General features: G+C 39.9%; 1 protein-coding gene and 1 long non-coding RNA gene across 10 annotated transcripts in view; one reads left to right on the top strand and one right to left on the bottom strand.

Annotated features, from left to right (window-relative positions):
* Positions 1–16,136, top strand: part of TXNDC8 (thioredoxin domain containing 8) — a 36,633-nt gene extending 20,497 nt beyond the window's left edge. For 3 of the 9 annotated variants that reach the window (XM_017014582.2, XM_017014579.2, XM_017014584.2), the window contains 3 exons: positions 12,835–12,900; positions 13,784–13,842; positions 16,060–16,136. In XM_017014582.2, coding sequence (XP_016870071.1) covers positions 12,835–12,900; positions 13,784–13,842; positions 16,060–16,096 — 162 coding nt within the window. In that variant the 3' untranslated portion in view covers positions 16,097–16,136. Of the gene's footprint in view, positions 1–8,419; positions 8,507–12,834; positions 12,901–13,658; positions 13,892–16,059 lie in introns of those variants that run through there. The other 6 variants (NM_001286946.2, NM_001003936.4, XM_017014583.2 and 3 more) reach the window with 5 other exon arrangements.
* Positions 4,932–16,601, bottom strand: part of LOC124902246 (uncharacterized) — a 38,529-nt gene continuing 26,859 nt past the window's right edge. The window contains exon 2 of the long non-coding RNA XR_007061729.1: positions 4,932–5,046. This is a non-coding gene — a long non-coding RNA (uncharacterized LOC124902246). The remainder of the gene's footprint in view (positions 5,047–16,601) is intronic.

Here is a 16,601-nt window from a genome sequence, read left to right as displayed (position 1 = left end):
GGAGAAGTGAAGGGATATAGGAAACAGGCATATTTTCTCAAAACTGGGCATTTGAGCAGATTTTCCAGTGGAAACATGAGAACAAGTATATGAGCCATTGAAGGGAATGGCCCCCAAACCATGTTTATCCCTGAGAATAAAGTTTCACCCTACACTTCCAGTAAACGGGAAAAATGACATCTCCTCTAGCCAGAGTCCAAAATCAGTTTTCCTGTTCAAGGTGTGGCTTGAGGTGAATTCCCACGACATTAGATGCACACGCTTTTGCCCTTCCACAGAAAGCCACATTGTACTGACTACCTAGCTCTTAGGCAGTTGCATGAAGCCTCAACAACTTCAGTTGATGGCACAGAATAAGAGTCGGTGAACAGTCCCAGGGCCATATCCGACCCTCCACTTGTTTTTGTAAATAAACTTTCACTGGAACACAGCCATGCCCATTTGTTTATGAATTGTCACTAGCTGCTTTAGCATTACAACAGCAAATTTGAGTAGTTGCAACAGAGACCAAATGGCCTGCAAAGCCTAAAGCTGGTATTATCTGATCCTTTACAAAAAAAGCTTGTCAACCCCTACACAGAAGAAAAGCACTCTTGCATTATTTATGCCACCAACGCTCAAAGAATCAGATCTGTAAGTAGAGTTTCTAAATCAGCTACAAGAAAATGAAAGTAAATTTGTATTTTGCTGGTATCGCACTATTAGAACAAGTTGAGAAGAAGGCCAGTATAGATAAGGAAAAAAATTAACATTGTTTTTATAGGCTCTTGTTCTTGAATTCGAGTGCATATAAATTCAAGCTGCTTGCTTGATTTTTATTTAGCTCCTCCAAAAACTTTAATCAAGCCCCTTGCAGTTGCAAAGCCTGTCTTGAGTCTTGTGAAAGTCAAAGGGGAAGTGTTCAAATACCTGCAACGTGATGCAGATGGCTCTGGGGAACAGATGGGTGGGGAGGAGTCAGAGAAAGGGGCCCAGATAGGATCAAACAGTAATTAATGTTGCTCACCTCTCCACAGAAGGTAGAGAAATTTTAAAAATTTTTATTAGACATATTCTTTTCATCTTATTCATACTATTCAATGCTTTAGTAAACTCCTCTTTTTAAAAAAGAGAATATAATATCATTATAAATTATAAAATTATATTGTACAGGCCAGGCACAGTGGCTCACACCTGTAATCTCAGCACTTTGGGAGGCCGAGGCAGGCAGATCACTTTGAGGCCAGGTGTTCGAGACCAGCCTAGCAGGTAGTAGCCTAGATGGTGAAACCCCATCTCTTCTAAAAATACAAAAAAAAAAAATTAGCCGAGTGTGGTGGCACATGTCTATAATCCCAGCTACTCAGGAGTGTGAGGCAGGAGAACCACCTGGACCCGGGAGGCGGAGGTTGCAGTGAGCCAAGATCATACCACCGCACTCCAGCCTCAGTGACAGAGCAAGACCCTGTCTCAAAAAAAAAGAAAAAAGAAATTATATTGTACATACATTTCTACAGCCTGCGCCCCCCGCCCCCTCAACCCCCTCCCCTGCCGCCAAAAAAAAAAGTGTCTTGTGGCTGGGCACAGTGGCTCACACCTGTAATTCCAGCACTTTGGGAAGCCAAGCCAGGTGGGTTCCTTGAGCCCAGGAGATCAAGACCAGCCTGAACAACATAGTGAAACCCTATCTCTACAAAAAAAAAAAATACAAAAATTAGCCAGGCATAGTAGCAGGATTCTGTAGTCCCAGCTACTTGGCAGGCTGAGGCAAGAAGATCAAAACCAAAATTGCATATCAACTGGCCAAGATATTTTGCTATAATTATCTTTTGAGTGTGTCATTAGTCAGACTCTAAAGTCTAATTGGTACTCTTGGAAGTCCATTTGTGAGGAGGGGACCGCTGTCTCCAGCCCCTTTGCATTTTGCAGCAGCAGTACTAGAATTTTTGCAGGTGATTCAATGTCTTTGGCATTAAAAAAAATTGCCCCGGGCTGGGTGCAGTGGCTCACACTTGTAATCCCAGCACTTTGGGAGGCTGAGGCGGGTGGATTACCTGAGGTCAGGAGTTCGAGACCAGCCTGGCCAACATGGCAAAACCCCGTCTGTACTAAAAATACAAAAATTAGCTGGGTGTGGTGGCGGGTGCTTGTAATCCCAGCTACTCGGGAGGCTGAGGCAAGAGAATCACTTGAACCCAGCAGGCGGAGGTTGCAGTGAGCCAAGAGCATGCCATTGCACTCCAGCCTGGGCAACAAGAGCCAAAAAAACAAAACAAAAAAAAACCTGCCTCTGGATGATGGGCAAATGCAGGGGATAGGAGGGTTCACTTCATTATTTTATTTTTGTGGATGTTTGAAAATGTTCATAATAAAAGACTTCAAAACTGATCATTGAGCTTAGTTGGTTCTATTATGCATGGACAGCCACACCCCATTCTCTTGGTCTCAGCAAACCAGAGCTTATAATTTTCATTAGCAGTTATTACTAGGGTTGCAGCAGTGCCTTGAGGAGAGAGAAGTAAACTCGCTCCCTTAATATTTCAGAGTGGAGCATGCCTTTGAGAGGCATAACCCGACATCGGAATAAAACGAGAAAACAATGTGAACCCTGAATATCTGAGACATGTCTCAGTTAATTTAGAAAGTTTAATTTGCTGGCCGGGCGCGGTGGCTCAAGCCTGTAATCCCAGCACTTTGGGAGGCCGAGGTGGGCGGATCACGAGGTCAGGAGATAGAGACCATCCTGGCTAACACAGTGAAACCCCGTCTCTACTAAAAATACAAAAAATTAGCCGGACGGGGTGGCGGGCGCCTGTAGTCCCAGCTACTCCGGAGGCTGAGGCAGGAGAATGGCGAGAACCCAGGAGGCGGAGCTTGCAGTGAGCCGAGATCGCGCCACTGCACTCCAGCCTGGGTGACAGAGCGAGACTCCATCTCAAAAAAAAAAAAGAAAAAAGAAAAAGAAAAAGAAAAAAAGAAAAAAAAGAAAGTTTAATTTGCCGATTTTGAGGACATCCACCTGTGACACAGCCTCAAGAGTCCCTGATGACATGTGCCCAGGTGGTGAGAGCACAGCTTGGTTTTATACATTGTAGGGAGGCATGAGACATCAATCAACATATGTAAGATGAACATTGGTTCAGTCAAGAAAGGCAGGACAACTCAAAGTGGGGAGGGGGCTTCCAGGTCATAGGTAGATAAAAGACAAATGGTTGCCTTCTTTGAGTTTCTGATTAGCCTCTCCAAAGGAGGCAATCAGATTTGGATTTATCTCAGTGAGCAGAGGGGTGAGTTTGAATAGAATGGGAGGCAGTTTGGCCCTAAGCAGTTCCCAGCTTGACTTTTCCCTTTAGCTTAGTGATTTTGGGGTCCCAAGATTTATTTTCCTTTCACATTTACCCCCTTTTCTATTTAAAAATCTTTTGGAGAAATCATTTTAGAAGAAAATGAGTTTCTGGTCTCAGGTTTCATCTGATCTCTCATGGCTAGGGTGGTTTATTCCTAGACAGGTAGGTGCCAAGTTATTAGGAAAGCTTATTTTTAGCAGCTTGTGAAGCCTCACATCCTATGAAAAGAAAATAGGGGGAAGAAGGGAGAAGAACAACAACAAACAAAAGAACAATCCTGGAAAATCTGTATAGGCCACATTACTCCATTTTGGTTGTTTGTTTGTTATTTGTTTGTTTTGAGACAGAGTTTTGCTCTTATCAACCAGGCTGGAGTCAGGGGCACGGTCTCGGCTCACTGCAACCTCCACCTCCTGGGTACAAGTGATTCTCCTGCCTCAGCCTCCCAAGTAGCTGGGATTACAGGCATGTGCCACCACGCCTGGCTAATTTTTGTATTTTTAGTAGAGACAGGATTTTGCCACGTTGGCCAGGCTGGTCTCAAACTCCTAATCTCAGGTGATCTGCCCACGTCAGCCTCCCAAAGTGCTGAGATTACAGGTGTGAGCCACTGTGTCCAGCCTAAGTCATATTACTCTGAAGTCTACACATGGACTTCAGAAAGTGGCTTATATATGTAAATAGATTGCTGTTATTTTCTTCGGAAGTTTAAATTGTCTAGCTTCAGTTTGCAGGGCTTTAAAAAAGCACAGCTTAGTTTTCAGTGACTCCAAATTAGGAAAAATTGGGGGAAAAGATAAGAAAAAAATTGAAACATTATTTTGAAGACTCGTAGGGGCAGGCATGGTGGCTCACACCTGTAATCCCAGCACTTTGGGAGGCCAAGGTGAGCACATCACCTGAGGTCAGGAGTTCAAGACCAGCCTGGCCAACATGTTGAAACCCTGTCTCTACTAAAAATACAAAAATTAGCTGGGTAAGGTGGCGGGCATCTGTAATCCCAGCTACTTGGGAGGCTGAGGCAGGAGAATCACTTGAATCCGGGTGGCGGAGGTTGCAGTGAACTGAGATTGCAAGATCATGCCACTGAACTCCAGCTTGGGCAACAGCGAGACTCTGTCTCAAAAACAACTAAAAAAAGAAGACTTGTAGCCAAGAGAAATTAGAATTTAGTCCAAACTGCAGAAAATAATATAAATGGAAAAACATTAGGCAAGACTAGAATCTAACAACAGATGTACTATAATTTTTGAAACAATTTTCTCTCTCCAGGTTCCCATTTCTACTAAAGACAAATCATGATAGGACAGATTTGCTTTATTATACTTGGACTGAGTATTTGTATACAGTGCAGCAAGAATAATTTTTTTTACATAGGCTTTTAAATTGACTTTGATGGAACTTCGTTCCATAGAAAGAATCTCAGATAAGACTTTTTTGAAGCTGAGCCCAGCCATAGATGGATTTGTACCATCAAATGCCTATGGGAATTCCTCTCCTCTTGAGGTTCCATGATAAACTTGGGGCTCCTGGGCCTGTCAGAAAGTGACATTCTTTACTTACCACAGGTCAGGAATCCTGTACAGAAACTGTGTAGACAAGGTATGAGGCCAGTTTTCCCAAGGGACTTTTATTGTTTCCATAAGTCATATTTGATTCCTTAAGGGAAAGTACACCATTCCAAAGCTTTGGTAAAATAACCGGTTTCTCCAATTGTGTCCTGTTACAAATGAAAACAGGTTCTTATTGCACTTATGCCATAACTGTATTGCCATAAGTTAAGAATACTCACAAATAGTTTCCAAATTCTGGAGAAATCAGGTAGAGAGAAACAAATATGCTCCAAATTTTGTTCATAGGAGTATACTAAATTATTAAAAGCTGTCAATAAAGCAAAAGTTTCCTTGACTCTGAAAAACAATACAAAGGATCAGCAACATTTTAAGAAAAAGTCAAAAATATTACTTCGGTTTTTTTTTAGTTCAGTCCATGCAGATAACTCCTGCTCTGCTTGATATTCATAAACATTTCAGCTCTCCCTGGAGAACTGCTTGAACCTGGGAGGTGGAGGTTGCGGCAAGCAGAGATAGTGCCACTGCCCTCTAGCCTGAGCAACAAGAGTGAAACTTCATCTTAAAAAAAAAAGTTAAATTAGTTTACTATATCCATATATATATAGTATATAGTATATCCATATATAGTATATATATAGTATATAGTATATCCATATATAGTATATATAGTATATAGTATATCCATATATAGTATATATATAGTACATAGTATATCCATATATAGTGTATATATAGTATATATATGGATATAGTAATATAGTATATCCATGTATATATATATATATATAAGGATATACTATATTACTATATCCATATATATATATAGTATGGAGATATATATATCTATTACTATATCCATATATATATGGATATAGTAATATAGTAATCCATATATATATAGTATGGAGATATATATATATATATATATATATATATATATATATACCTCTTTATTTTTGTAACTTTCTTTACATCGCTCTTATTTCCTGGTTTCTTTTACCTTGTTTTATACATAACCTTTAAATAAGCTTTTGAATTAGACAAAAATTGTTCACCTTTTTAAAAAGGACACACTTCTTTTCTTTAAAAAAGAATGTTTTCCTACAATATATTTTTATTGAAAAATACCCAAATAATGAAATATCTATTAATTTAATATAACTTTAGATTCTCAATTATGATGAGTTTGTCTACAAGTATTTTCCCCGTTGTATTTACCTAATTATTTTAATCATTTACCTAGATGATTTATGTAAACTGTGATAATAATCATTTAAAGTTATGGAATGACCATTGCAAAATTATTACTGAGACAGTGAAACAGATCTGACCTAACTGAATCTATCATGCTTCTAACCTCCAAGCTGTCTTTGTTCATTCCTGGGCATAGGCCAAACTAACTTTGGGAGGAACTTAGTTTATAGCTTAGCTTTGAAACAAAGATGGTAACAGTCCTTTCCTAAAACAAACTTTACTGCCTGTGGACTAGACTGCTTGAAGCCAAAAGATTAGAAGTTACTAAATTCAAGATGTAACTATTTTCATTAAACCAATATCAATGTCTTATTTATTAAAAATTACACAAGCAAAGTTCATTCTGTTTTGGGCTGGGTTTATAGTTTTGTAACCCCTATGCCAAATTTTGACACCTTATAGTGTTTAGCAGGGATAAGTATGAAATTGCTTGATTAATAAATGCAAACAAAAATGTATGCTGGCAATTCTTAAGACATTTCTAATATTACGCTTCCAATAATTTTAAAGCTAGCTTGTTTATTAAAGATTTTACTTAAGTTACATAAACTTGAAAAAGCATTTGGCTAGTCTTTTATTTTTTCCTGATAAAGTATTTGATTCAAGTGCTTTTATTTTCTTAAGCCAATTAATTAGAGCTCTTTTATATATTTTCAGGAATGAAACATTGTGTAACATAACACATAAATACATAAATGTATTAGGCATGCCGGTAGAAGTACATCTTGTAGATTCATAGACTCTATTTTTTCCTATCTTATACTTTCAAATTCTTGATAACCTGTTTCACTACCCTAGACAGTTGTCAGCTAAATCGCCTTAAATTTGCATATTAAATTTAAACAACTCAGGTGAAAAGCAGCAAAATTTACATAATCAAGTATGGAGAGAAAATGTCTGGTGTGCTAGAGGGAAATTAAAATGGATTTAATTGCCAACTAAACAAAAAATTATAGAAATTATAAAGGCCTTTCCAATATACACATGCACACACACACACACACACACACACCACACACAAAGATCCTATAACTTAGGAACTCTATAGTTTGCAGATGGATCCTAGGACTCTTTTTTCTTTAATGTGAATGTGCACAAAGACCATATTACTTCCATTTTACATAAACTCTGGCAAGTAGAGGTGCCATAAAACCTATGGAGTGCTTGAAAGGGGAGTCAGTCTCCTTGTTTTCTTCTCATTCTTAGATTATTGGTTTCCCACTTTCTTTTTCTTAATAAAAGGAACTGAGATTATTAATAAGGAACTTAGATTATTGGTTTCCCACTTTTTTTTTCTTAATAAAAGGAACTGAGATTATTAATAAGGAACTTAGATTATTGGTTTCCCACTTTTTTTTCCTTAATAAAAGGAACTGAGCCGTGGCCTAGAGTTTTTGTGTGATGAATTGATGTGTGCTGCTTGTAAGCAGCACTCCACACCACTGAGTTGTTTCTACCCTCTTACATGCCTCAGTTTCTCTCTCCAGAGGTCTATTATCTCTGAGAGGGCTCAAAACACTAGGTAATCAGCCCTTATATGTGTTTCCTGGATAAGCCTTTTTTTAAATTACTTTTTAGGCCAGGAGCAGTGGCTCACGCCTGTAATCCCAGCACCTTGGGAGGTCAAGATGCGCAGATCACCTGAAGTCAGGCGTTCAAGCCCAGCCTGGTCAACATGGTGAAACCCTGTCTCTACTAAAAATACAAAAAATAGCCAGGCATGGTGGTGCATGCCTGTAATTCCAGCTACTAGGGAGGCAGAGGCAGGAGAATCACTTGAACATGGGAGGCAGAGGTTGCAGTGAGCTGAGATGGTGCCACTGCACTCCAGCCTGGATGACACAGCAAGACTCTATCTCAAAAAAATAAATAAATAAATAAAATTAATTTTTGGGGGGATTTTCCTGTAGGGCTGCTGCATATTGTGGGGGGGTCAATCCCCCAGATACTCCCTTGAGGCCCGAGTCACCCAGGGGCAACTTTCAGCTGGAAGGAGCAAATGTTGTTTCTCTTCCGAGCTAAGAAAATTCAGTCTCTTATGCAAATATACACAGACAAGCCAAATCAAGATTAATTTTCAGAGAAAAAGCAATGGAGAAGATCCTTTAGAATGCATATCTGAACTAGAATTAGGATCCTTAACAACTTCCTACGAGAAAAAATAAAATAACAGCCAAGACCACTTCCTGTAAACTGTTCTCAGCCATCCCTAACTTTGTAGTTCTCATTCGCCATTACACACGCTAAGGTCAAAACCTCTCACAGTACAAGGTCATCTCTGGTATCTACAAAGCCAAAGAGGTCAGGTCATGCAATACAGGAAAATAGAGCTTTAGACCTAAGAAGAATCTGCCCATGACTCTTGAAACTCCACAAAGAAAACAGAACACATCAAAAGGGGTGAGTGGCACCTTTGCTCTGAATTCTTTAAAGGGGTTCAAATCGTTAGAAGCCTTCTCTAGATTTTTTTGGTACTGCAGGTGGCAAAGGGGAAGGAGGTACGTGGTAGAAGGAAAGTAAATGAGAGAACCTTTTTTTTTTTAAAGACAGGAAGCAAACACAGAAACCAAGTGCATGGTTTTCTGTTTTGTTTTCCCTCTTTTGCAGCTGCAAGGAATTTTAGCCAAATTAGAGAGGCCTTGTTACCCATAATTTGGAATTCTCACTCAGATTTGAGCAAGTCAGGTAGAGTAGGTCAAATCTGATGGGAGAAAGAAAAGAACAAACAACAACAACAAAAAAAAAAACAATGTGATCTCTGAGCATGCTAATGGTAAGGAGAAATTAAAAACAGCTGGTTATTAACTTTAGCCAAGACAAAACCCAAATTCAGATACTTACCTAGGGTTGGGTCTTGGGCTGAAGAACCAGCAAAAAAATCAAACTTGTCTCCCTTGTTGGGAGCAACCTCAGACTCTATAAAGGAATTACCTGCCTTCCATCATCATGAAAGCAGGAAATCTTGCCTTCCTTGTTGGAAGCAAGTAAAACTCTAAAAAAAGGGAGTTGTACAGCAAAATAAACTAGATCTTGACCAAATCTTGGGAGATTGGGGATTCTCTGGAGTGGGGTGCTCCCAGGCCTCAGCAAATTGTCCTATTGGTTTGAGCCATAAAGTTAGCTCATGCTGGTATCAAGCACCAACAGGAGATTTGCCAAAGGTCAGGGGTAACTCCACTCAGAATCCCTTTGTGGTTGCCAAATGTGAACCCCAAACACCTGAGATAGGTTTCAGTTAATTTAGAAAGTTTATTTTGCCAAGGTTGAGAACATGTGCCTGTGACACAGCCTCAGGAGGTCCTGATGCTATGTGCCCAAGACGGTTAGAGGACAGCTTGGTTTTATACATGTTAGGGAGATATGAGACATCAATCAACATATATGATGAACACTGGTTTGGTCCGGAAAGGCAGGACAACTTGAAGCGGGGAGGGGGCTTCCAGGTCATAGGTAGATAAAAGACAAATGGTTACATTCTTTTGAGTTTCTGATTAGCATTTCCAAAGGAGGCAATCAGATATGCATTTATCTCAGTGAGTGGAGAGGTGACTTTGAAAAGAATGGGAGGCAGGTTTTCCCTAAGTAGTTCCAGCTTGACTTTTCCCTTTAGCTTAGTGATTTGGGGACCCCAAGATTTATTTATTTTCCTCTCACAACACTTTGGGCAGAAATTAAACTATTTGCCTTGCATACATCTCTCTTCAAAAGAAAGCTATCTGTGCAATAAGCTCTTATCAGTAAATTGCTCCTTATCCATGAACTCCACCTATTAAGTTCCTGTATGCAAAGCCCAGTGCTGGATAGGAAGACACGAATGTAACATTTCTCTTTGGCAAACAAGATAAAGATAGAATAAGACAGGTAATACCTAGTTGCTGAAACTTAGCTCAACACAGGCCTATGGTCATCAATGGTACACTTACTCTGTGTAAGGTACTAGATTAGATACTAAAACTATAAAGCCAGGCACAGTGATTTATGCCTGTAAACCCAGCACTTTGGGAGGGGAGGCAGGAGGATCTTTTGAGGCCAGGAGTTTGAGACCAGCCTAGGTAACACAGCAAGATCTCGCCTTTACAAAAAATTTAAAAATTAAAAAAAAAAAAAAGCCAGTGTATTGGTGCATGCTTGTAGTCCTAGCTATTCAGGAAGCTGAGGTGGGAGGATCACTTGAGCCCTGGGGTTCAAGACTGCAGTGAACTATGATCGCATCACTGCACTCCAGCCTGGGTGACAGAGCGAGACCTCATCTCTAAAATAAATAAATAAATAATATATGGAAAAAAATTTCGGGTATAGTCTTCATCCTTGGTGTAGTGGGAAAGATAGATGACAAAAATTAGTTAATACTGCGATGCCCAGAGTACTATGGGATCACAGAGAAAAGGTTCAAGGAAGGCTCTATGAGTTACTCAAACCATCTTGAGGGATAGTTAAGAATAGCAAGTGAGAAAAGATGACAGGAAGCAGTGTTATAAAATAACATGGGTATATGTCAGGAATTCTTTGGATAATAACACAACAATAGTAAAAAGTTATCACTAGCAGATGAGCTCATGAGAGGATTTTGTCAGTTTTGTTCACAGTAAGTGTGGCTCATAGTAGGCACTTATTAAGTATTTGTTAAATGAACAAATGGATCTGACTGAGTTCAAGCTTTATGGCAAGGAGCAACAGGGAGGGAGACAGGACAAAATTACGGAGACCTTGGAAGAAGCTTGGATTGTATGGTGATGGGGAAAAACTGAAGATGTTTACAAACAAGGATGGCATGCCTGGATTTGTGGTTTTGAGCTTCAGGGATGAGAAAGGACCTAAGTGGCACAAGACTGGAGACCGAAAGAGACAAGTTATATAGCCATTGCTAAAGTCAGGTGAAAGCTGACCAAGGTAAAACATATGGAATTTGGTAGCAAACTTGTCCCCTAAAGCCACCAGAATTGTTAACATGAAAAAGACTGGCAATATCAAGTGTTGTCAAGGATGCAGAGCTAGAGCTAGAACACTCATCCTCTGCTGGTAGAGTATAAATTGAAAATATATGCAGGCCAGGCATGGTGGCTCACACCTGTAATCCCAGCACCTTGGGAGGCTGAGATGAGCAGATCACTGGAGGTCAGAAGTTTGAGACCAGCCTAGCCAACATGGTGAAAGCCCGTTTCTGCTAAAATTTTAAAAATTAACCAGGAGTGGTGGTGGGAGGCAGAGGTGGGAGAATCGCTTGAAGCCGGGAGGCAGAGATTGCAGTGAGCTGAGGTTGCAGTGAGCTGAGGTTCCAGTGAGCTGAGATTGCGGCACTCCAAAGTCGGTGACAGAGAAAGACTCTGTCAAAAAAAGAAAAGAAAAGAAAAGAAAAAGAAAGAAAAGAAAAGAAAGGAAAAGAAAGGAAAGGAAAGGAAAGGAAAGAAAAGAAAAGAAAAGAAAGAAAAGAAAAGAAAAGAAAAGAAAGGGAAGGGAAGGGAAGGAAGGGAAGAAAGAAACAGGAAAGAAAGAAAGAAAAAGAAGGAAAGATATAAAGAGGAGAAAGAAAGAGAGTAAGAAAGAGAAAGAAAGAAAGAAGAAAATAGAAAGAAAGAAAAAGAAAGGAAGGAAGGAAGAAAAAGAAAGAAAGAAAGAAAGAAAGAAAGAAAGAAAGAAAGAAAGAAAGAAAGAAAGAAAGAAAGAAAAAGAAAATACATGCAGTATAATTTCAAAAACTGTGGGGTAGCTTCTACTGAAGCAGAACCCACAATCCCACTTCTAGCTATACAACAGAAATCAGTGCTTATGTGCTCACAAAGATATCCCTACAAAGATATGGACAAGAACATCCACAGTAGCACTATTTGTCACAGCAAAAATGGATAAACTGTGTTACATTCATGCAATGGAATACCAAAGAAACACTGAAAAATGACTGTAGTGACACTCTCCAGGTAAGTCTCATAAACATCATGTTGAGTGGAAGATGCCAGACACAGAAGAATACATATCGTAGAATTCCATCTTTCTTTTTTTCTATTTTTTAAAAACAATTACATTTGAATCAGTGCACCATATTCCTTTTTTTTTTTTTTTTTTTTTTTGAGACAGAATCTCTCTCTGTCACCCAGGCTGGAATGCAGTGGCTTGATCGTGGCTCACTGCAACCTCCACCTCCTGGGTTCAAGTGATTCTCGTGCCTCCGCCTCCCATGTAGCTGGAATTACAGGTGCACACCACCACGCCTGGCTAATTTTTGTATTTTTGGTAGAGATGGGGTTTTGCCATGTTGGCCAGACTGGTTTCAAACTCCTGATCTCAAGTGACCCACCCACCTCAGCCTCCCGAGGTGCTCAGATTACAGGCATGAGCCACTGCACCCGGCCATCCATCTTTAAAAGTCCAAAAACAGGCAAAATGAATTTATTATGTTTCCTGCCAAGTCTGGTCATTCAGGTAGCCAAGCCTTGCCTATGTTTCCACCAGACGTTCTTATCTTTGCACGAGTTCTGACCTCAGATTTTGCAGAGGATCATGAACCTCCCTTCATGCCAAAGAGCCACCACCCAGCTGCCACCTAACTCTTAGCAAAGAGAAACTTTTGCAGATCCTTTCTGACACCTTCCTTCCCTGGCCAAGGCCAAAAGAACCAGTTATAGGGGAGATGGTTACAAACCAGGCAACTCAGATAAATTATGAAATTCTGCACCCACACTTAGGTAACCCTATTCTCAAGAATCAAAAGAATAATTTGCTGTTATAGAAGTGGATTCATGAGCAACCTGGTAAGTGAAATGGGATCAAGTTAGAGTTAGAAATCTGGGGTTTACTTTGAAGGAATAAATATAATGACACACTCAGGCAGAATGCTGCTGCCTGGAGAAGCAGAAGCCTTTGGTGTGGGGATGGTTTCTCCCTGCAGCACACCGGGCAGTAAAGTTAGTTCTAGACTTTTCTAGCCCCTGCCCCAAAGTCCTAACACCATTCCTGGTGGCTCAACCGCCCCTTTACTGGGAACTCAAGTTTTCACCCAATCCCAACCTCACACTCTTCCTTGTCTTCAACCATGTAATATATTTTGAATTCCATCTTTGAATTCCATCTTTCTTCAAAAAAGATGCATTATTTTATATACCACTAAGAAGTGTTCCAAGTGAAATATAACATACCATCCACTATGAAATGCATTCTGATTCAGAGATGTAAACATTTGAAAGGAACATGTGCTTCTTAGAATCAATGAATTATAATACTCTTACCTGGGGAGAAGTCAGGGAATGACAAATCCCAAGCCATTTGATTTCAGAAGATTGTGTATATTAATTGACAAATCCTCGATACCAATGTATAAGAGCTCTGAGAAGTTCCAATGATGGAGTTTGTTTATTTCCGAGATTATTATACGTTTTAGATCTTAGATTAAAGGTATATTATGGAGAATTATAGAGATCTGGCAAAGTTTTTAGCAAAAGTAATTTTGAAAGGATGCCAAATATGAAAATATTATGAATTTAATGTGTTTAATGTATATTTATATTTAAAGTGTCTTGCAGATGATGGAAATGAGTAGGATTTAACTTTTCAATCAGGAATAAAATTCCTTAAAGCCTCAACATTTTCGCAGCACTTGAATCAATAAATGTTTCACCTTTGTGCATTTGTGAACAGATTTTTGAGTTTTGTGGAGCCGATGCTAAAAAATTGGAAGCCAAGACTCAAGAATTAATGTAAGCTGATCTCCAAGGCAAAATACACTTGTGACATTTGAAAAGGCAAGAGCAAATGTGTTTGTGCTTTCATTTCCAGCAAATACTGTAGTGTTCCACTGGTCTCTCTCCTAATGCTTTGCTGGTTGAATACCATAATGCAATCTCACTGCACAATTGCTAAAAACTGTTGCAATATGAGAGATTGCATCATTTCCATTCTCCAACTTGGGCTTCCCACTTGCTCTGAGCACACTCCTTGGGCAGTGTTTTTATGACCTTCACAAGAGAGGTCCTGCACAGCTAAGTATTACCAGGTCATCAAGATTTTCCAGAGATTAGCAAAGATCCAATTCTTCCCAGTGGTCAAGGAACAAATAAATGTCTTAGTGCCCTCGTGCACTTTGAACATATGAAAGCCTCCCCCGATTAAGCCATTTCTTATGGTACAAAATTCTTCTCCAATGCATCATTTTTTTTTTTTGAGACAGTCTTGCTCTGTTGCCCAGCCTGGAGTGCAGTGGCATGATCTCGGCTCACTGAAACCTCTGCCTACCAGGTTCAAGCTATTCTCCCACCTCAGCCACCTGCGTAGCTAGGATTATAGGCAGGCGTCATCACAACTGGCTAATTTTTGTGTTTTTAGTAGAAACAGGGGTTCACTATGTTGTCCAGGCTGGTCTCAAACTCCTGCCCTCAAGTGATCCTCCTGCCTCGGCCTCCCAAAGTTCTGGGATTACAGGCATGAGCCACCATGCCCAGCCATCATTTTATGTTTGAACTGTGTCATTTTTCTCTCTCTCTCACTCCCTTTCTAAAGTCCTCCTATAAACACAGACGTGTACACACACAGACCCACACACATACAAACCAGAAAGTCCTTTTACTGCCTATTGAAAAAAAAAAAAAAACTGAGCTAACTCAGACATTTAGAGCCCAGAGGAGATGGCTTCTTCTGTACCGTACTAATTGTGTCTATGCTGAGGCTGCACCAGATAAACACTGGAGTCTTAAGTCATAGACAGAGTGGAGCTGGCTTTCCTAGGCATTAATAACTGAGATTTTGACAAAGCATAGGCTCCATATGCTTTTTTAGAATTCTTTGGAGTAGGCAGAGCATAGTGGCTCACGCCTGTAATCTTAAAACTTTGGGAGGTCAAGGCAGGTGGATTGCTTGAGCCCAGGAGTTTGAGACCAGCCTGGGCAACATGGTGAAACCCTGTCTCTACAAAAAATAGACAAATTAGCCAGGCATGGTGGCTTGCATCTGTAGTCCCAGCTGCTTGAGAGGCTGAGGTGGGAGGATCACTTGAGCCCAGGAGTTTGAGACCAGCATGGGCAACATAGCTAGACTCTGTCTCTATAAAAAAGAAAAAAAAAATACAAAAATTAGCCAGACATGGTAGTTCATGCCTGTAGTCCCAGCTGCTTGGGAGGCTGAGGTGGGAGGATTACTTGCGCCTGGAAGGTGGAGGTTGCAGTGAGCTGAGATCATGCCACTGCACTCCAGCCTGGATAATAGAGCGAGACTCAGTCTCAAAAATAAAAATAAAATAAATAAATAAATAGATAAATAAAAATAAAAAATATTCTTTGGGCTATAGAGGAAACCAGCACATACTAGTTTAAGTGAAAAGGAGAACAAATATGCATTGAGCACTTACTCTGCCAAACACTGGAATAGGCACTTAAAATAAAACTTGATTCACGGAATCCAAATGCAGAGATACAGTCAGCCTTCACATGAGATTAGAAGCAGGGAGAGGAAAGCTATGGGGGACTCGGGGTATTTCCAAGTATTCCTGTCCTCTGCTTTTCATCTGAATCATCCTTTATGTTGCTACAGATAGATGTTCTTTATTTTCCAGTCTTCGTGCTGGAAAGTAGTCCCTGCCAATAACTCCTAAGCATGTATTATCTCCTCCATTCAAGACACCAGCCAGACTATTCCTTCCTGAACAACTCTAGCCAGGGGGCAGGATCACAACAATAAAGGCAATTTTGCTCCTATTATAAGGGTGGGGGTGGAGATGGTGGGCACCCCAGAAAAGCAAGAGGCTGAAAAGACTTAAAATGTTGTGCTCACTGCAAAAAATAAACTTTTAAAATAAAATAACAATTTAAAGCAAAAGTTGTCTGATAAAAATCTGTATATGCCATGCTCACATATATATTTAGTGTACTTGCTAGACAATATCCTAAACCCTTTGCATTCATTACCTCATTTAACTTTTGCAGCAATCCTGTAAGTGGAATTGTTTTGAGAAATGTTTAACAACTGGTTCTCTGGGAGAAAAATACTGCCTGGTCTGAAGTGGTTGCCAATTTCTGTGGTGTAAATACTTGGTAGATTTCAAGCTACCCAATGGCATCACTGAGCATGCAGCTGGGAAGAGATGTACACAATAGGCCCTCATGAGCTGGTAAGATTTCACTGTAGCACACCAGTACCTACAGTGGAGGTACTACTTTTATCCCTATTTTCTTGCACAGGAGAAAACCGACACAAAGAAGTTAAATGACTTGCCCAAATTTCCCCAGAAAAATCCGCATTGGACCCCAGCTCTATGATGCCAAAGTTAAGACTAAAGGTTAAAGAAAAGTTGCATAGTCAAGCTTATAAGCATGGCATATAATGATGCCATGCTTATCTTAAATTCTACCAGTCACAGTCACTGCTTAACAAAATTAAGCATCAAAAAACTTCAGATCATCTTATCTGGTGACCTCATTTTAATAAGACCTCATTTAGAGGGGTTTAGAGTAACATATATCAATTT

The sequence above is a fragment of the Homo sapiens genome, chromosome 9 (assembly GCF_000001405.40).
Source record: "Homo sapiens chromosome 9, GRCh38.p14 Primary Assembly".
Taxonomy (NCBI): Eukaryota; Metazoa; Chordata; class Mammalia; order Primates; family Hominidae; genus Homo; species Homo sapiens.
Note: the sequence above shows the minus strand (reverse complement) of the source record. Positions and strands in the feature narration are given on the sequence as shown.